We start from the raw sequence: 22,422 nt of genomic DNA, 5'->3' as shown, positions 1-22,422 counted from the left end.
AACACCCCATTAACAGTATTAGACAGATCACTGAGTCAAAAAACTAACAAAGATAGTTGTGACCTGAACTTGACATTTAACCAAATGGACCTAACAGACATCTACAGAGCTCTCCACCCCAAAACAGCAGAATATACGTTCTTCTCATTTGCACCTGGCACATACTCTAAAAATCGACCACACAATCAGCCATTAAACAATTCTAAGCAAATGCAAAACACCCAAAATTATATTAACCACACTCTCGGACCACAGTGCAATAACAATAGCAATCAATACTAAGAAGATCACTAAAAATCATACAATTACATGGAAATTAAACAACCTGCTCCTGATGACTTCTGAGTAAACAATGAAATTAAGGCAGAACTCAAGAAATCCTTTGAAACTAATGAGAACAAAGACAGAAAATACCAGAATCTCTGGGACACAGCTAAAGCAGTGTTACAAGTTTATAGTGCTAAACACCCACATGAAACAGTTAGAAAGATCTAGAAATAACAATCTAACATCACACCTAGAGGAACTAGAAAAACAAGAGCAAATCAACCCCAAAGCTAGCAGAAGACAAGAAATAACCAAAATTAGAGCTAAACAGAATGAAATTGATATGTGAAAAACCATACAAAAGATCAATGAAATCATAAGTTGGCTCTTTGAAGAATAAATAAGATTAATAGACCACTAGCTAGACTAATTTAAAAGAGAAGATCCAAATAAACACAATCAGAAATGACAAAAGGAACATTACCACCGACCCCACAGAAAAAAAAAAAAAAACCCCAGAGACTATTATGAACACCTCTATGCACAAAAACTAGAAAACCTAGAAGAAATGGATAAATTTCTGGAAATATAAAACCTCCCAAGATTGAGCCAGGAAGAAATTAAAACCCCGCACAGACAAAGAATGAGTTCCAAAATTGAACCAGTAATTAAAAACCTATCAATCAAAAAAAGCCCAGGACCCGATGGATTCACAGCCAAATTCTACCAGACATGTAAAGAAGAGTTGGTACCACTCCTACTGAAACTATTCAAAAAAATTGAGGAGGAAGAACTTCTCCCTAACTCATTCTATGAGGCCAGCATCATTCAGCATCATTCTGATACCAAAACCTGGCAGAGAAACAACAAAAAAAGGAAACCTTAGGCCAATATGTTTGATGAGTATTGATGCAAAAATCCTCAACAAAATACTAGCAAACTGAATCCAGCAGCACATCAAAAAGCTAATTCACCACAATAAAGTAGGCTTTATCCCTGGAATGCAAGGTTGGTTCAACATATGCAAATCCATAAGTGTGATTCATCACATAAACAGAACTAAAAACAAAAACCACATGATCATCTCAATAGATGCAGGAAAGGCTTTCAATACAATTCAACATCTGTTCATGTTAAAAACCCTCAACAAACCAGGCACTGAAGGAACATACCTCAAAATAATAAGAGTCACCTATGACAAACCGCACAGCCAACATCATACTGAATGGGCAAAAGCTGGAACAATTCCCCTTGAGAACTGGAACAAAACAAGGATGCCCGCTCTCACCACTTCTATTCAACATAGTACTGGAAGTCCTAACCAGAACAATCAGGCAAGGGAAAGAAATAAAAGGCATCCAAACAGGAAATCAAACTATATCTATTTGCAGAAGATATTGTTTTTATACCTAGAAAACCCCATAGTGTGCCCAAAAGCTCCTAGATCTGATAAGCAACTTCAGCAAAATTTCAGGATACAAAAATCAATGTACAAAAATCAATAGCATTTCTATACCCAACAACACCCAAGCTGAGTGCCAAGTCGAGATCACAATCCCATTCGTTATAGCAAAAGAAAAAAAAAAGTAAAATACCCAGAAATACAGTTAACCAGGAAGGTGAAAGATCTCTACAACAAGAATTATAAAATATTGCTCAAATAAATCAGAGATGACACAAATGGAAAAACATTCCATGCTCGTGATAGGAAGAATCAATATTGTTAAAATGTTCATAATGCCAAAGCAATTTATAGATTCAATGCTATTCCTCTCAAACTACCAATAACATTCTTCACAGAATTAGGAAAAAACTATTCTAAAATTCATACAGAACCAAAAAAGAGCCCAATAGCCAAAGTGATCCTAAGCAAAAAGAACAAAGCTGGAGGCATCACAATACCCAATTTCAAGCTATACTATAAGACAACCGTAACCAAAACAGCATGGTACTGGTATGAAAACAGACACATAGACCAATGGAACAGAATAGAGAGCCCAGAAATAAAGCCACACACCTACAACCATCTGGTCTTCGACAAAGTTGACAAAAACAAGCAATGGGAAAAAGACTCCCTATTCAATAAATGGTGCTGGGATAACTGGCTAGCCATATGCAGAAGATTGAAACTAGCCCCCTTCCTTACACCATATATAAAAATCAGCTCAAGATGGATTAAAGACTTAAATGTAAAACTTAAAACTATAAAACCCTTGAAGAAAATTTAGGAATGACTGGGCGTGGTGGTTCACGCCTGTAATCTCAGCACTCTAGGAGGCTGAGGCAGGCAGATTGCTTGAGCTCAGGAGTTCAAGAGCAGCTTGGGCAAGATGGTGAAACCTCATCTCTACAAAAAAATATAAAAATTAGCCAGGTGTAGTAGTGTGCACCTGTAGTCCCAGCTACTTGGGGGGCTGAGGCAGGAGAATTGTTTGAGTCCAGGAGGTTGAGGCTGCAGTAAGCTGTTTGCGCCACTGTACTCCAGCCTGGGTGACACAGTGAGACCCTATCTCGAAAAAGAAAAAAAAAAGAAAGAAAATTTAGAAAATACCATTCTGGACACAGGCCCTAGCAAAGATTTCATGATGAAGACACCAAAAGCAACTGCAATAACAATAAAATTGACAAATGGGACATAATTAAACTAAAGAGTATCTGCACAGCAAAAGAAACTATCAACAGAGTAAACAGACAACCTACAGAATGGGAGAAAATATTTACAAACTATGTGTCTGAAAATGCTCTAACATCCAGAATCTATAAGGAACTTAAAGAAATTAATAAGCAAAAAACCAAACAACCCAATAAAAAAGTGGGCAAGGGATATAAACAGACACTTTTCAAAAGAAGACATATATCTAGCCAGCAAGCATATGAAAAAATGTTCAACATCCCTAATCACTAGAGAAATGCAAATCAAACCACAGTGAGATACTATCTCACACCAGACAGAATGGCTATTATTAAAAAGTCAAAAAATAACAGATGCTAGTGAGGTTGCAGAGAAAAAGGAATGCTTGTACACTGCTTCTGGGAGTGTAAATTAGTTCAGCCATTGTGGAAAGCAATTTGGCAATTTCTCAAAGAACTTAAAACAGACTACCATTTGACCTGGGAATCCCATTACTGGGTATCTACTCACAGGAATATAAATTGTTCTACCATAAAGACACATGCACAAGTATATTCATCGCAGCACTATTCACAATAGTAAAGACATGCAATGCATAAGAATGTTCATCACAGCACTATTCACGATAGTAAAGACATGCAATCAACCTAGATGCCCATCAATGGTAGACTGGATAAAGAAAATATGGTACATATACACCATGGGATAGTATGCAGTCATAAAAAATAACAAGGTCATGCCCTTTGTAGCAACATGTATGGAGCTGGAGGCCATTATCCTGAGCGAACTACTGCAGGAACAGAAAACTAAATACCACGTTTTCACTTACAAGTGGGAGATAAACATTGAGTACACATGGCCGCAAAGAAGGGAACAGTAGACACTGGAGCCTACTTGAGGGTGGAGGGTGGAAGGAGGGTAAAGACTGAAAACTACCTATTGGGTACCATGCTTATTACCTGGGTCACGAACTAATCTGTACACCAAACTCCCATGACACACAATTTACCTGTATAACAAATCTGCACATGTACCCTTGAAACTAAAAGATCAGAAACATTTAAAAAGTAGTGTCATATAACTGTAAACAATGATTTAAAAGAATATAGATTTAAAAGACCCCCGAATTTTGGCCAGGTGTGGTGGCTCATGCTGTAATCCCAGCACCTTGGGAGGCCGAGGCAGGTGGATCACCTGAGGTCAGGTGTTCAAGACCAGCCTGGCCAACATGGTGAAAGCCCATCTCTACTAAAAATACAAAAAAATTAGCTGGGTATGGTGGCGGGCACCTGTAATCCTAGCTACTCAGGAGAATAAGCAGGAGAATCACTTGAACCCAGGAGGCGGAGGTTGCAGTGAGCCGAGATCGCACCATTGCACTCCAGCCTGGGCAACCAGAGTGTGACTACCTCTCAAAAATAAAAAATAAAAAATAAAGACCCCCTAATTTTATTTATTTTTCTCACCCGAAAATTTTTAATGTTTATGCTGATGCACATCTGAGTGCTTATCATCAAAGTGTGAAGTAAAAACAAAAAAGGCAGTTTAAGAAAGTTCCAGTGTTTCAAAGAGAGCATTTTTTAAAATGTATATACATGGAGAACATTTCATTATACCGTAAAATAAATGCAGCACTGTAAGATAAAGGAAGACTAATATATATGGAGTTTTGCTCTTTCTCCCCTCTACAGCTGCAACCATCTTCAACCTGCTGAACTTAACTCAATGGTTACAGGAATTTGTTGCTTTTTTTTTTTGGTCTCCTATTCAGTTCACATTTCAGGCTGTTGAGCAGATGCCTGTGATTCTGGAGATTCAAATCACTGGTGAAAGTTTTTTCTCTGTTTCCTCAGTTTTTCAGGAGCTTTTCTTCATAAAATGATCTCCTGCTGTTTGAAGTACCTTCAGTCTTCCTCATCAACAAACACTAAATTCAAAAAGTACCTTACTGAAACTTTTTGGTTCACATCTGATTGTTGGAGTAGGGTCATATCCCACTAAAAACAGTCTCATTGGAATTGATTCACCTTTTACTGGTGCACCATCCATTATTTCATATTTGGTGATGTTTCTGTTTCTGCTGTGGTACTGGGTCCAATTCCTGTGATCTCTTTTTTGATCAGTTGTAACTCCATATGTTGTATTTTTATTCTTACTACTAAGAAGTAAATTTTTCCAACAATTACATGCTTTAAATGATACTTTGACTTACTATATTCAAATTATATATGTAGACAATCTTCAATGCCCACTTCTATCTTAATACAGTTGTTAACATCAGGACAGGTGGCAAGCTGGTGAACAATAAGATCACATTCTTTTACTAAATCTGTCAGTCTTCTCACTATTGTCACTTTAAGAAAATACCTCAAGTGAACACTGGCACCGATGTCAGATGCATATGGCTTTTTAACTTGCATAAACTCAAAATCATAACTTCTTCTCTGAGTCAGTTCTCCAGGTAAGGCTAGTTCTTTCATTAGGTTTATAAATTCATGAGCATTACTCTTGTCATTGTAAAGTTCCATTTGACCTATAAATTCAATTCTAATTCCTTGGTGCTCTAGCCTCTATCCAGGTTGCTTAAAGGCTACATTTACCTTCCCTGAAACAGATTCTCCATTATAAAGAGATGGTGTTTTTCTACTTTGCCATCTTCAGTTTTCATTTCTGTCATTTTCCTGGCTTCTCCATCATTAAAGACATATCAATCTCACAAACTGGACCAAAAAAGCCTTCAAGAAAACTCATTGTCAGCACGGCCACCACATCCCCGCTACTTTACTCCTTTTCACTCAGGAGAACTGTCAGCCCCAGCTCCTTCTGCTCAGCACCCCTAATTTGGAAAATTTAGATCCAGTGGTAGTCATTTGAGTGCTGGAATTAGATTTAATCCACAAATAATTGATTATTTAAAAAAATCATTAAATTCTTAATATTTTTAAAAAGGAGCCTTTGAAACTCGATCTCAAGAAATACCAGCCCAGGTGTGGTAGCTCACACTTGCCCAGCACTTTGGGAGGCTGACGTGGGAGGATCATTTGAGGCCAGGAGTGTAAGACCAGCCTGGGCAACATAGGGAGACACTTGTCTCTATAAAAAATGTTTTAAAATTGGCCGGGCATTGTGGTGCACACCTGTGGTCCCAGCAACTGAGGCTGAGGTAGGAGGATCACTTGAGCCCAGGAGGTCGAGGCTACAGTGAAGTGTGATTGCACCACTGCACTCCAGACTGGGCAACAGAGCAAGACCTTGTCTCAAAAAAAGAAAGAAAGAAATACAACTTTGATTACCAGGTAACAAGTCAGAAGATAGCAGTATGCTTTGCAGTCATGATCAGATTCTCTTTTGTAGTAAAGCTTCTGACTAATTCTAGGTCTAGCCAGCAACATACTCATAACTGTTTAGGTTTAGAAGTAGCTGGAAGCCTTTGCTTTGCAAAGCCATTTATAACATCAGACAGTTGATATAATCATTGATATTGAAGCCAGATATATCAGAAAACAAATGCAGTTGTGTTTCAAAAAGCAAACTTCATTTATCACCAGCATACAACAACGTCCTAATTCCTCCTGGGTCTTTTCAGCCATAAAAATGGCAGTGTAACATTAACAGGTATCCTCTCAAAAAATTCAGGGAAATAATGTATCCAGTTCTTCTGAAATATCAAGTTCTCTAAGTAGAAATGACTAACAAGTAAATACAAAATAGATTCCGAAAAAATATAATAAGTTAAATATTAGCTACTGAGTAAAGAGGAAGATTTATATCTCAGGCATCCCACATTTTCAAAACTGGAAGAACAGAAAAGATAATTTTTTTAAATTACAAAACTCATAATATAATCACAGGAGAATAGCTACTGACTGCAATCTCTTTGCTACTCTATCATCAATAATAAGAACAAAATTGATTTTGGTTCCTAGTATTCATAACAATGATATCATCTATGAATATATAATTATGTCTAGGCCAGGCACAGTGGCTCACGCCTATAATCCCAGCTCTTTGGGAGGCCAAGGCAGGTGGATCACCTGAGCTCAGGAGTTTGAGACTGGCCTGGAGCAACATAGCAAGACCCTGTCTCTACCAAAAAAAAAAAAAAAAAAAAAAAAAGCCAAGCATGGTGGTGCACGCCTGTAATCCCAGCTACTCGGGAGGCTGAGGTGCAAGAATCGCTTGAGCCCAGGAGGCGGAGGTTGCAGTGAGCCGAGATTGCACCATAGCACTCCAGCCTGGGTGACAGAGCGAGACCCTGTCTCAAAAAAAAAAATTATGTTTACATAAAAGTTTCAAATAAAGGAATAATATCTAATGGTTAATAAAATACTTAGATTATAAACTAAATTGCGGCTGGGTGCAGTGGCTCATTCTTGTAATCCTAGTACTTTGGGAGGCTGAGGGGGTTAGATTGCTTGAGCCCAGGAGTTTGAGACCAGCATGGCCAACACGGCAAACCCCTCTACTAAAAAAATACAAAAATTATCCAGGCGTGGTGGCGCATGCCTGTAATCCCAGCTACTCAGGAGGCTGAGGCACAAGAATCGCTTGAACCTGGGAGGCAGATGTTGCAGTGAGCCGAGATCGCACCTCTTCACTCCAGCCTGGGTGACAGTGCACAACTCTGTCTCAAATAAATAAATAAATAAAATTGACTATAGAATAACTTTCTCTTTGACTATGTCAAATGACTCACTTTATATGAATCTCTGCTGCTGCTGCATTCTAATTTTATGTAGCAAGCTAAATCATGTGCTCCCAAAGTTAATAAAATATCAAAAACATTTAGGATAAATTCAGTTTCAAACTTTATTTATTTATTTATTTTGAGACAGAGTCTCAATCTATCACTGGATAGAGTGGCACTGGAGTGCAGTGGCACAATCTCAGCTCACTGCAACCTCCAACTCCCAGGCTCAAGAGATCCTCCCACCTCAGCCTCCCAAGTAGCTGAGACTACAGGGGTGCACCACCATGCCCAGCTAATTTTTGTATTTTTTGGTAGAGATGGGTCCAGGCTGGTCTCAAACTCCTGGGCTCGAGCAATTCACCCACCTCAACCTCCCAAAGTGCTGGGATTACAGGCATGAGCCACCATACCCAGCCCCAAAATAAAACTTTTTAACACATAATCAATGAAATTCTTCTTATGAGGATTTAACCATTAATTTCCAATTAAGAAATTTAACCAATTTCTTAAATGGAACTTTTAAAAATATATTTTCTTTGAAGTAGTCCATAGATACTGCAATCTCAAGTGTACAGCTCCATGATTTTCACAAAGGGAATACATACATGTACCACCACTCTGATCAGGATATAGAACTTAAACCAGCATCCCAAAAGCTCCCTCCCAGTCTTCACCTACCTGACTCTCCACAACAGTAACCGCTATGCTGACTTTATGTCCATAAATTTGTTTGGCCTGGTTTTTATCTTTATATAAAGAAATTATATAGCATGTACTCTTTTGTATCTGGATTCTTTTGCTCAACATTGTATCTGTGAGTTCTACTCATATTGTTACAAGTATCAGTACTTTGTATTTTTTTCATTGTTATATAGGATTCTTTTGTGGGAATATACACAATCTATTCACCCATTCTATTACTGATGGACACTTGAACTGTTTTGAGTTTGGGACCATCATAAATAATGTTGCTATGAACACTGTAGTACGTCATTCAGAGTACAAATGTACCCATTTCTGATGAATGTATACCTAGGAGTGGAACTGCTGAGTCACAGAGAATTCATACCTTTAGTAGTTACTGCCAAGCCTTTTGGCAAAGTGGTTGTTCCAATTTACACTCCACCAAAATTCAGTTGTTTCACATGAAACCATTTTGAATTGAGTTCAACCTAATCGAATTGGTACCTTAATGAATAAATATACTTTTAGTTTTCAAAAGTCTGAACTTAATTGTTGGAAGCATGTGCCTAATTAAATAATTATACTGTTCACATGTGAATTTAACCAAACATTTGAATACCAGTTTATATACTGTCAACATAAAAGCAAAGCATGTCTAATTCTTCCTCCTCACAACATAAATCAGTTTATATATGCTCAATATTCTAAGAATAATAGCATTCTCCCAAATTTATCATTAGGTAAGAACACAAGGACTAACCTATTATATTTCTAGAACTGGCAAATTTCTGCATAAAGCGTGAACTGGTAAAGAGCAATTCAAACATTCTGTCAGCACTGATATGAAAAATACGGTTGATAAAAAGTCTTCCATGAAGATCTTTCTCAGGAACATTTTCTGGAAAAACAGAAACACAAACCAAAAGAGAAGAAATCAAAGAAAGTTTATTTTAAGGCTTTAGGGGGTTTCGTGGGGTTTTCTTTTTTTATTTTGGGCATAAAATGGTTTTTAAATATGATTACAATGAGGAGAACATTCTAGGACACTATTAAAACTCCAAATAGGAATTAAATATATACATATGTATGACCTATAACTATGCATAACAATATATAGTTAACTAAACTACATATAATCAATATTTCAACTGTCAAAACCCAAAAGATACAGAAATATTTCACTTGAATGGTATCAAATGGCCATAATATGTCACTCAAAAGAATATTTCAAAAGGGACAAGGACAATATAGACACATAAGATAGTATCTAACATAGAAATTAGCAACTTCTACCTCTGAATGCTCACTCAGTAAATATTAATTTATCAATGGCTATAATATCTGCTGCACTTAGCTTATCAGCCTGAATAATGTTTCAACTTGACTTAATGTTCACTACCCAAAGACAAGAATGACTGTAATCACAACCTATTTTCAACATCACACATTAAAAGAACTAAGAAATCCTTCTGAAAAGTATTCATCAAAGCTAACAAATGCCCAATGAATTATTACATTTTTTCTGGGAATTTGATAATCATAGTGATGTTGAAAACTACTAGTGACAAATGAAGAAGCAATATCTTGCTCACCTATTCTCATATGCCCTGGAAATATTATATAAAATAGCCCATACTTACATAGTGCTTACTATATGTTAGACATTGTGCTACATACCTTACAAGTATTGACTCATCTTATTCTCACTGCAATGCTATGAGATAAGTGGTATTATCATCATTATTTCCAGATGGGGAAACAGAATCACAGAAATAATTGCCGAGGCTCCATGGCTAGTGAGTGACTGACCTGGAATTTGAACCCACTCCAGCTCCAGAGCACATAAACTTAACATCTATTTTATACCGCCAGAAGGAATTTAACTTAGAAGAACCAAACAGAAAAGAAAAAAAAAAAACCAAGGAACAGAAGCCTGGCATAATAGAGGAAGTAACATAAAGCAATTCAATATGAAATTGTAATGATTTCAGGACCAAGATTACTTACTATTATCTCAAGGATGATGCCCCATCGATACAGAATAAAAATTGCTGCAAAAGCTCCCCATGTTTCAGAAATCAAGCTCTAAGAATGATCTGGGTAAAGCATCTGTCAATATTAGTCAGGTTAAATCAAAGGGCAATAGTCTATGGATCAGAAAAACTCTGCTAGCTCTGGCTTCATCCCCAACTACTGCTGTTTATCCCTCATTGGATGATTTGTGTCTCCCTATTTTGCTAGAGGCATAAAGGACTTATGGATATCAGATAGATATTGATTTGCTTCTCCCTTCAACAATACTCTACGTAGGCAAAAACTCTTTACTGCAGTTTCAAATAATGGCTCCTTCAGCGTAGAAATGAATCACAAAACTAGGCAATTTTGCTAAGCTTTGTGAGGTAACTTTCCAATTAGGCCTGGGAAACAGCTTTTTCTGACACAGAAGTATTATATGTTCACTGTAAAAATAATTCAAATATTCACAAAGGAAGAAAACAACTAAAGGTGATTCTGTTGATCTTGTTCATTTCCTTCACAGAACCTATCCTGACTTGTAGTTATATTTTTATTGATTTATTGACTTGTTATCTTTCTCCTGCTTACTATAGTAGATCAATATACTATCACTAAATAAAATGATGTTTGGTTTAAAGTGATCTGCAATCTCCCTCACTCCCTCTAAACCCACACACACATCCCCAGTCTCCTGGGATGGTTTACTTTTTGTGACCTTTTCAAATGTCACTTCAGTTCATTGACTTCAACCGTCTTCATAACTTCACAACTTTAAAAAAGTAAAAACACAGATTCATTATTTTACCCATTTAATACATATGACAAGTCCAAGATTTTGGAACGTGCTTAGGGAAACCAGTAGGAGCGCTTGATTTGCTATCTAATGATAATCTAATAAGAAAAAAATCGCCATACACTTTAAATAAAACTCCCCAAACAGAGGTCTGAATGTTACATATACCTTCTTACTGCTATAAAGCCAAACAGCCTTTGCAAGGAGCAAAGTGTGATCAGAGCTCCTGTGCAATAATGAATCTATACACTATTATTCTTTATTTCTAGATATGTACAATTTTTATCAGTTTTATTGTTATCCTTTATGCAACTTATAATGTTTCTTTTATAGGATTCTTTTTTTTTTTTTTTTTTTTTTGGAGACAGAGTCTCACTCTTGAGATTAAAAGCGTGTGCCACCACACCCAGCTAATTTTTGTATTTTTAGTAGAGATGGGCTTTCCTCACATTGGCCAGACTGGTCTCGAACTCCTGACCTCAGTTGACCCACCTGGCTCAGCCTTCCAAAGTGCTGGGATTACAAGCGCGCGCCACCACATCCAGCTGAAACTACTTTGGAAGGACCATTCTTATAAAAGAAGCAGGTGAGAAAGAGAAAACAAAAATCCTGGTTTTGGTGCTACTTACCTATTTGGCCACTGGGGGCCAGAGTAGATCTTCCTAAAGTCCTAAATTCAGGTAAACAGCGTATGACTAATCCATGCCCAGCTGCATACTAAAGCAAGAATGGTAAGGACACTAATAAAGCAGTCTCTATGTTACCCTTCATCTTTCCAAATGTCTCCCACTACATTGACTTCAATGGCAAGGATCTTACAATTTTAAGAAAAAGAGTCCTTAAAATGCCTACTTAATAAGTACAACAAGCCTCAAGTAATTTGTACTAAATTTTCCTTTAAACAACTACTTTTATTATATTTTTTGCTTTCTCTTTCTCTTTCCCTTTCTCTCTCCTATTGGTGGTTACAAGAAAGTAACACAATCATAGTGTCTATAACATCTATCCTCAAAACTGAAACATAAAAAGTATTAAATCTTTTTTTTTTTTGAAGAGACTGGATCTGGCTCTTTTGTCGCCCAGGCTAGAGTGCAATGGTGTGATCATAGCTCACTGCAGCCTTGATCTCCTGGGGCTCAAGTGATGCTCCTGCTTCAGCCTCCTGCGTAGCTAGGACTATAGGCATGCACCACCATGTCCAGCTAATTTTCTATTTTTTGTAGAGACAAGTCTTGCCCAGACTGGTCTCAAACTCCTGGCCCAAGCAATCCTCCCACCTTGGCCTCTCCAAGTACTGGGATTACGGGCATGAGCCACCGTGCTCAACCAAGAAAAACCAAAATCTTTTATCTTTCTCAAACCTAAAAGCAGTATAACACACACAATCTATATTTTGGAAGTTTTTAAAATATGTTTTAAAAAATTAAATTTTATATTAAGGAAAACACATTAACATAGTAAACTTACATCTACATAAAATGGTTGGGAAATGGGCTTACATTGACTAACACAATATTATTGTGTGCTGGGTATTATATATAATGCAGTGGAGATGTCTCTTCTTCAACCCTTCCGAGTTAAAGGTGCCCAATTAGGGTAATTCCCAGCCTCTCTCTACCCCTTTAACTCACTCTAACCATAGGAAGTAGATTATTGGTATGGACTGAATGTTTGTGTAGCCGCAAATTATTCTGTTAAAGCCCTAACTCCTGGTGTGGCTGTACTTGGAGATGGGGCCTCTAAAGAAAGTAATTAAGTTAATTGGCCAGGTGCGGTGGCTCATGCCTGTAGTCCCAGCATTTTGGGAGGCCGAGGCGGGCTGATCACGAGGTCAGGAGATCAAGACCATCCTGGCTAACATGGTGAAACCCCATCTCTACCAAAAATACAAAAAATTAGCTGGGCATGGTGGTGGGCACCTGTAGTCCCAGCTACTTGGAAGGCTGAGGCAGGAGAATGGTGTGAACCCGGGAGGCAGAGGTTGCAGTGAGCCGAGATCGTGCTACTGCACTCTAGCTCAGGGGACAGAGCAAGACTCTGTCAGGAAAGAAAGAAAGAAAAGGAAGGAAGGAAGGAAGGAAGGAAGGAAGGAAAGAAACAGAGAGAGAAAGAGAGAGAGAAAGGAAAAGAAAGAAAGAAAAAGAAAGAAGGAAAGAAAGGAAGAAGGGAAGGGAAGGAGGGAGGGAGAAGGAAGGAAGGAAGGAAAGAAATAATTAAGTTAAATAAGGTGGGTCCCAGATCTGGTAGAATTAGTGTCCTTATAAGAATAGACACCAGACACTCTGGAAGGCCGAGGCTAAAGGATCAGTTGAAGCCAGGAGTTCAAGACCACCCTGGCCAACATGAGGAAACCCCTTGTTTACTAAAATTACAAAAAATTAGCTGGGCGTGGTGGTGCATGTTTGTAATCCCAGCTACTCCAGGTGTTCCAGAGGGTGAGGCACAAGAATCGCTTGAACTCGGGAGGCAGAGATTGCAGTGAGCCAAGATCACACCACTGCACTCCATCCTGGGCGACAGAGCCAGACTCTGTCTCAAAAAGAAAAAAAAAAAAATACCAGAGAGTTTGCTCATGTATGCTCTCTCTCTCTCTCGTGTGCGTGTGTGTGTGTGTGTCTCTCTCTCTGTTGTTCCCTGCTCTGCTCCTCCCTCACACTTTGCTCCTCTAACCATGAGCATGTGCTAAGGAAAGGCTATGAGCAGACACAGTGAGAAAGTGGCAAGCCAGGAAGAGAGCCCTCACCAGAAACCAACTCTGCCAAACCTTGATCTGGGGTTTCTATCCTCCAGAATTATATGAAATAAATTTCTGTTGCTTAAGCTACCCAATCTGTAGTATTTTGTTATGGCAGCCTGAGCTACTAATACAGTTAGTAAATGTGGAAGGAGTATGTTGGGTAGGCTTGGCACACCTCTGTCCTTCTCTCTGGATCTAGGTGCCCACAGAAGCTGGTTCTCCTCCAGGGGGGATCGTCCCTCCAGTTGGGGAGGAGATTGAACATTGCCTGTGATTGATAGGTAAGTCCACCTCATTCTTCAGCTCCATCAGCAGCCCACTTATCTTTCACACATACCCACATCCGTTGACTTTGTTACTATTAGTATAAAAGGTGATATTTTGGCCTCTATCTGACTTGCTCTTCATTTTCTTTCCCAATTTTGTTACCACCAGGGTGGTCAAGAAGGACTGCTATTTGTTGAGCCCACTCTAGACCTCATGTACACATGGATTACAATACAAAACAAAATGGATTACAATACAAAATGTGAAAAACATCTAGAATATAATACTCTTGAAATTCAGAAGGCCTTTGGGTCATGATTCTCTTTATCATCATATTAGGATTAAGCTTAATCTCTGCTGGCCCTCTAAAACCAAGTAAGTTTTCTGTTTTGTTTTGTTTTTTGAGACGGAGTCTCACACTGTCACCCAGGCTGGAGTGCAGTGGCGTGATCTAGGCTCACTGCAACCTCCGCCTCCTGGGTTCATGAGATTCTCCTGCCTCAGCCTCCCGAGTAGCTGGGATTACAGGCACACACCGCCACACCCGGCTAATTTTTTGTATTTTTAGTAGAGACAGGGTTTCACTACGTTGACCAGACTGGTCTTGAACTCCTGACCGTGTGATCCACCCGCCTCGGCCTTCCAAAGTGCTGGGATTACAGGCGTGAGCCACTGTGCCCAGCCAAATAAGTTTTTTTTAATGCCATATGGAATATTATTATCATTTATCTTTGTAATAAATTTCAAATATAGAATGTTCCTCTGAAAGTGAATTAAATGGAAATTTTTAAAATTAAATGGAAATTGACTACAGTAAAAACAAATCAAAGTCAGGAGCAATTATGATGAACTTTCCATGCTCTTGCTTTCAAAAAACTCATCCCATTATGCTAAAATATAACCACAGTCAAAAGCTTGCATCTTCACACAAAGAAATTTGAGTATTGTTCTGAGTAACATTGATGAGTACACTTTTTAAAAAATCATTTACAGAGAGAAAGATTTCCTTTCCAGAATTTTTGAGAATCTTCTTTATTTCCTTTTGGAGGCTACCCAATAATTTAAATTAATATTCATGTGAGAATGCATCCCTGCCATAACTACTTGCTTTCATAATTATATACAAAACAAGTTTAGAAAAACCTTGCTAAGCTGTCTTTTTTTAAAAGGAGGAAAAGAGAAAATAACTTGGGCAGTATTGAAGTAAAGTAAAAAGAAAACTGGACAGAGACACCTGGTCATTAACTCAAGTTCTGCATAGTTAACTAGCTGTGTGACTTTAGATTTAGCTCCTGTAGGTCTTATTTTCCCTACCAGGAAAATGAGGGATAGCCTAAATGAAATAATATGTCACTCTACCTATGACGTGTGAGCATATCACACTGCCTGGTATATAGAATGGGCATATATGTTTTTATTAACACCACATTTAGAAGCTAAATGCAAAGAAGCTTTTCAGATTCCAGGCTTCTGAAGACAGTGGGATACGTTAGATTTAACAGCCTCTTTCTCCTATTTTCTATAAGCTCCCATTCTTTTTTTGTTTCTTTATAGGGTGAGACTGTGTCTAATAAAACTAAATTCTCAATCTGCACACCCCTATTACAAAGATAAACATAAAAAGACATAACTGAAATTTAATAAAATTTATAAGAAATTATTTACCTTCATCAACAGAATCTGAAGTGCTGCTTTTGTCCAGAGAAAGATATTCATTTTTATTCAAGTCCAGTGACTTTGATGGCACTCTAGTTAACTTCTTTTCCAAAGTTGGTAAGAGACTCTTTTTGGTCTGTTTCTCATTTTGGGACTCCTCTTTGCCTAATCCCTAAAAGGTAAACAATCCAGTTTCAAAATAAAACACAGGTTTAGCTTAGATTTTGCAGTGAGAACTTTAATATTAAAGATACTTTGAAATATTGAGCTTTGAAGAATATTTACAGCATTTTGTTTGTTATACTTGCATCACATTTCCCATGCTATTAAATGTCGGTCCGTAAAATATGAATAAATAATATATACCATTCTAAAGTCATCCTACACAATAATAAACAAGTTTATGAAAAACACCATATAAAAGAGCTTCACAGATCATGTAAATCACTTATGGAGAAGGGAAAGGGGACAAAGGACAAAAATAATAGAACAATCCATTCTTTGGGGTAGACAAGGGAGAAGAACCAAACCCAGTTAGCTTCCCCAGCCAGTGCCTGCCCCATCATCTCAAGGAAGAAAACTCACCCATCTCTCAAGACCTAACAGGGAAATGGAAAGAAAATGGAGAGATAAAAGTCACATATGAGTACAGTGGGAGAGAGAAGATTAAAACAAATTAACTTCATAGCAAACTCATAAAAACACAATTGGCTTTGCTGCAAAGGGACTAAGAGATTAGGCATTAAAATGTATTTAATATATGATGCTATCTATACTTTCTGAGATGGTTTAATAAAGATGATGTCATCTCTATAATAAATTTAATGTTAGGCATTAAAGTATGATGCTATTGCTATGTTAGTATTCAAGTAAAATAGTACTGTATTATAATCAGACTTAGTGGAATAGTACAAAAAGTCTATATAAACTATACAGCAGAATATTTTCTTGCATTTTCTGTATGTACACAGATGGAAGAGAGCACTTTACTTCCTGTCCCATGAGATCCTTGAGAAGCACTAAGTAGCAGAATCAGCTCCAGGGAGGATACAGGTTTCCACTGGCCACCCAGATAGCAGAATAACAACTGGGACCGAGGACACAATTTATTAAAGGATTATATTGCCCTGGTCAGAAGATTGATTCTTCATGCAGAGATTATTGCTAAAATCAAAACTTGATTTATTTGGGAGTTCCACACTATAAAGCAACGTGCCTATTTAGCTAAACCAGGGGCCCCTTAACAGATGCTAAGTAGAGTACATTTCTCTACAGCTCCACACTTACACGTCTCCTCTTGTTGCAAATTAAGTTCTATTTCCTACTATAAAGAATACAGATAGATATTTATAGGAAAAGTAAGAGTCACTATCTTTCAGTGGTTGGTATCTGGATGGCTTTTATTTCTTTGTATACTCTACTGTATTTCATGAAGTTTTACAAAGAGTATTAATTCTATAGCTTAAAAAACATATTTTCTTGGAAAAAAGTTATTTTTGACTTTTTGTTATTTCCAACTTTGTTAGAAGTGAAAATGAGGCAAAGCAAGTGACATACGATGCTTGTAGATATCTGAGAATCTCATCATATGGCTCTTGAATGCAAACAGAAAAAAAAAGGGCTAAACTTCTATACTGCTTGTATTCTATAACCTGAAAACATCTATACTGAACACCAATGAATGTATGATCGATCTTAAAGCATTAAGTTATTCACTTCCCTTGCACCAGTAGTAAGTCACTAAGGGTCTCTAGATGAATAAGTTTTGCAAGAAACACAAAACACAAAACCAGGCTAAGGTAGATGCATGACTGGTAAAAACAAGTTGATAACATGCTGGCCTTCCACATAAATATATTTTCATTCAATGTTTTCCCAACATTTACTCAGAGGAGATACTGGAAGTTCTTGGGGGAGGGTGGAAAAGGATCATTACTGATCACAGGCAGATTCACCTTCAATTATAACAGCTTATGGTTATTGGATATTTAATGTGTGCTAGGAACTATTCTAAGTACAGTCATACATTGCTTTGATGACAGGGATACATTATGAGAAATGTATCATTAGGTGATTTTATTGTTGTGCCAACGTCATAGAGTGTACTTAACAAATTTAGATGGTATAGCTTACTACACACCCAGGCTATATGGTATAGCTTATTGCTCCTGGTCTATAAACCTGGACAGCATGTTACTCTACTGAATACTGTAGGCAGTATAACACAGTGGGAAGTACTTGTGTATCTAAACGTATGTAAACATAGCAAAAGTACAGTAAAAACACGGTACAAAAGATTTAGAAAATGGTACACCTGTTTATACCATGAATGGAGCTTACAGGACTGAGTTCTGTTGTTCTGGGTGAGTCAGTGAGTGAGTAGTGAGTGAATGTGAAGGCCTGGGACATTACTGAACACTACTGCAGACTTTATAAACATCGTACACTTAGGCTACAATAGATTTACCAAAAAAAAATTGTTTTTTCAATAATAAATTAAGCTTAGCTTACTGTAACATTTTTATTTTATGAACTTTTTTTTAAAACTTTTTGACTCTTGTAAAAATACTTAGGTTAGACCACAAACACACTGGACAGCTGTACAAAAATATTTTCTTTCTTTATATACTTATTCTAAAAGCTTTTTTCTATTTTTAATTTTTTCTTATTTTGTTATTTTTAAACCTTTTTGTTAAAAATTAAGACACAAACACACACGTTAGCCTAGGCCTACACAGGATCAGGATCATGAATATCACTGCTTCCACCTTCACATTTTGTACGACTAGAAGGTCGTCAGGGAGAATAACATGCATGGAGCTGTCATCTCCTATGATAACAATATTTTCTTCTGGAATTCCGCCTGAAGGACCTGGCTGAGGCTGTTTCAAAGTTAACTTTTTTTGTATATAGAAGTAGAAAGAGTGTACTCTAAAATAATGATTTATTATTTTATTATCAAGTATTATGTACTTCTATAATTGTTTGTGCTATACCTTTATAGGCCTGGCAGCACAGATTTGTTTACACCAGCATCACCACAAACATGTGAGCAACGTATTGCATTACCATGTTATGATGGTACCTCACTAGGCAAAGGAATTTTTCAGCTCCCTTAAAATGTTATGGGACTGGCTGGTTGCAGTGGCTGACACTTGTAATCCCAGCACTTTGGGAGCCTCAGGCAGGTGGATCACCTGAGGTTAGGTGTTCGAGACCAGCCTGGCCAACATGGGGAAACCCCATCTCTACTAAAAATATTAAAAAGTAGCCAGGCATAGTGGCGGATGCCTGTAGTCCCAGCTACTCAGGAGGCTGAGCCAGAAGAATTGCTTGAACCCAGGAGGCGGAGGCTGCAGTGAGCTGAGATCACACCACTGCACTCCAGCCTGGGCAACAAGAGCAAAACTCTGTATCAAAAAAAAAAAAAAGTTATGAGACCACCACCACATATGCAGTCCATCACTGACCAAAACATTATACAGAGCATGACTGCATTTTCATATATACTAATTCATTTAACTCTTATTAAAAAAGACCTTATAAAGTATAATCCTCACTTTACAGTTGAGAAAAGAAAAGAAAAGGTTAAGTAATTAACTTATACAGTTAGCAAGTGGCAGATGTAAGATTTGAAGCCAAAGCCCTGCTCTAAATAAAGGAATTCAGCTCTGCCCCCAAACTTGCATCCCAATCAGCAGAACAAAGGCTCTGCAGTAGGAGCACTCCTAGTACTCAGAATATGGTCTCTAAATACCATTCTTCACTAAGAAAATCTATGGTTCATTAAGAAAACGGTCTGGAGCAGAAAACATACAAAATGTGCTTAGAAGATATTGTTGTGCCAGAAAGAAAAGACATCATTAAAGATACTGGTCATTTCAAAAGGCCAAAGGAACCAACTTGAAGGGGCTCCCATTGGCAGAGGGAGCAAACTGAGAATCAAATAATGACTGCAAGTGATTGAAGCACACTGGAATAAAAAACTGAAGTGTTGGCCGGGCATGCTGGCTCATGCCTGTGATCCCAGCACTTTGAGAGGCCAAGGCGGGTGGATCATGAGGTCAGGGGTTCAAGACCAGCCTAGCCAACATGATGAAACCCCATCTCTATTAAAGATACAAAAAATTACCCAGGCGTGGTGGCACGTGCCTGTAACCTGAGCTACTTGGGAGGCTGAGGCCGGAGAATTGTTTGAACCCAGGGGGTGGAGGTTGCAGTGAGCCGAGATCATGCCATTGCACTCCAGCCTGGGCAACAGGGCGAGACTCATCTCAAAAAACCCAAAAAACTAAAAACAAAAAACTGATGTGCTTACAATGATACTTGAGAAAATAAAGGAAGAAACTAAGTAATTGAGTATAATGCCTAGTAGTTAACTGGACCTGCCTGCTTAAAAAGCTTAAAAAGCAGCTATTGTTACTCAAGCATGCTGCTCAGGGGCTCATCTCTCCCTTCAAAACAGATTCTTTCTCCATGCTGTTCCCTTCTGTGAAAGAAAGAAAGAAAAAAAAAAAAACAGATTCTTTCCAGCACACACAGTACTTACCCTGGGGAAAATTCTGCTACTTACAAATTTCTCCATCTTATTATTCTTTTAATGATATTTATCCCCCTACAGACTGATGCCCAGGTAAAACTGCTCGGTAGCTCTGCTTTTTATATAGCTCTGAACAAAACCACATATTTTCCCACATAATCTCTGCTACTAACAGACTTTAAACTTTTTTCCTAAAATAAGGTAGGAGTCTGATATCTTATTTTTAACATTTTGTATACTGTATCCTTATTTATCTTGTATTCTGATTAGGACATGACAGTACCAGATATATTTTAAAAGGGATATCATATACTAACTCCTTTTGATGAATTTCCATCGAATGACTCTGTTTCTGAAACCCGACTAATTGATTCACTGGTAAAACTGATTGACTTGGATAATTTTTCATCTCTCTCCCCAGAGTCATCCAAGCTGCTTCTTCCTGGACTTCTGTAAGAAACACATCATTATAGAAATATAAGGTCACCTCCACACAAATAAATGATTTGGTCTCCTCACTGAGGTCATTTCCTATGATAAAACAGTTTGATAATAAATGGACTACTGTAATATAGCAAATAAATGTTTACTTATAACAAGGCTATCTTCTTAAATTACATGCAAGTTGATATCATTTCTGAAAACAAGATACACTCACATGGGATTCTATAAATCTCAAAAACATTAAAAAATTAACAAAGTACAAATGGCCGTAACAGTAACTAATCAAATGAAAATTGCTCCTTTAAATTTCATTTGTGTACAACCACAAAGCTTGGACAGGTACAGAGTAGATGTTTGAGTTAGATACTAGATCGCACAAGAAGGCAGTTTTATATCTCCTTCCTTCTGACTCAGTCTCAGCTGAAATGGCGAAGCCCTCCCAGAAGTGGACGCTCAAGATGTCTGAGCCTAAGCCCATTGGCCACTCCTGCCTCCTCACTCTTCCCAGCCCTAAGAACAAGGTTTAAGAAACAGCTGTCAAATGATCATATGGCCAAGACTATAATAAATGTCCTGGGATCTGCTTTCCCTTTCTCAAGGAGCAAAAAGAAAGGAAAACCTATTAAATACAATGGGAGCACAACTGATCTAATTTCCAATGCTCAACAGGATGGAGGTGAGATGTGGAAAAACAGAGAGGAAAGGAGGAGGAAGAAGGAAGGAGAGATTGCAAATAAAGAGGAAGAAGATGGAAGAACCGAGGAAATAAAGGTTTGAAACAGATATGCTTCTTTCAGAGACTGAAGAACAGGAAAAGAAGTAGAAGAGAGAATGAGGATCCTGCCACACACTTTCTTAGAAAGCATTCAGGCCGACCGGGCATGATGGCTCATGCCTGTAATCCCAACACTTTGGGAGGCTGAGGTGAGCTGATCATGAGGTCAAGAGATCGAGACCATCCTGGCCAACATGGTGAAATGCCGTCTCTACTAAAAAAAAAAAAAAATGCAAAAATTAGCTGGGCGTGGTGGCACGCACCTGAAGTCTCAGCTACTTGGGAGGCTGAGGCAGAAGACTCGCTTGAACCCGGAGGCAGAGGTTGCAGTGAGCCAAGATCACGCCACTGCACTCCAGCCTGGTGACAGAGTGAGACTCCATCTCCAAAAAAAAAAGAAAGAAAGAAAAGAAAAAAAGAAAGCATTCAGGCCAGGTGCAGTGGCTGACACCTGTAATCCCAGCACTTTGGGAGGCCGAGGCAGGGTGGATCACTTAAGGTCAGGAGTTCAAGACCAGCCTCATCAACATGGCAAAATCTCTACTGAAAATACAAAAAGTAGCCAGGCGTGGTGGTGGGCACCGCAATCCCAGCTACTTGGGAGGCTGAGGCAGGAGAATCGCTTGAACCCAGGAGGCGGAGGTTGCAGTGAGCCAAGATCGCACCACTGTGCTCCAGCCTGGGTGACAGAGTGAGACTCAGTCTCAAAAAAGAAAAAAAAGAAAGCATTCAATCGCCAGAAGAAAACAGCAGCTAGTCAAAAATATTCTTTCTTTCCTCAAAGACTAGAAACTTTTCAAGTTGGCAAGGACCTTAAAGATAATCTAGTTCAGCTGCCTCATTTCATAGACGAGAAAACTGAGAATCAAAAAAATGAAAAGATTTGCCTGAGGTTGCTCGGCTGTTTGGTGACCCTAACTA

At 38.1% G+C, this 22,422-nt stretch overlaps 1 protein-coding gene and 1 pseudogene across 6 annotated transcripts in view; both read right to left on the bottom strand.

The window, feature by feature from the left end:
- The window catches only part of GRAMD1C (GRAM domain containing 1C), a 118,983-nt gene that overhangs the window by 22,303 nt on the left and 74,258 nt on the right, over positions 1-22,422 (bottom strand). For 5 of the 6 annotated variants that reach the window (XM_011512930.2, NM_017577.5, XM_005247547.3 and 2 more), the window contains 3 exons: positions 20,600-20,732; positions 15,752-15,914; positions 9,034-9,171 (listed from right to left, as the gene is read on the bottom strand). In XM_011512930.2, the coding sequence (XP_011511232.1) occupies positions 9,034-9,171; positions 15,752-15,914; positions 20,600-20,732 (434 nt within the window). Of the gene's footprint in view, positions 1-9,033; positions 9,172-11,711; positions 11,800-15,751; positions 15,915-20,599; positions 20,733-22,422 lie in introns of all 6 variants that reach the window. The other variant, XM_017006649.2, reaches the window with a different exon arrangement.
- Positions 4,477-5,728, bottom strand: VPS26AP1 (VPS26A pseudogene 1; annotated as a pseudogene).

This window comes from Homo sapiens, chromosome 3 (genome assembly GCF_000001405.40).
Source record: "Homo sapiens chromosome 3, GRCh38.p14 Primary Assembly".
NCBI lineage: Eukaryota > Metazoa > Chordata > Mammalia > Primates > Hominidae > Homo > Homo sapiens.
Note: the sequence above shows the minus strand (reverse complement) of the source record. Positions and strands in the feature narration are given on the sequence as shown.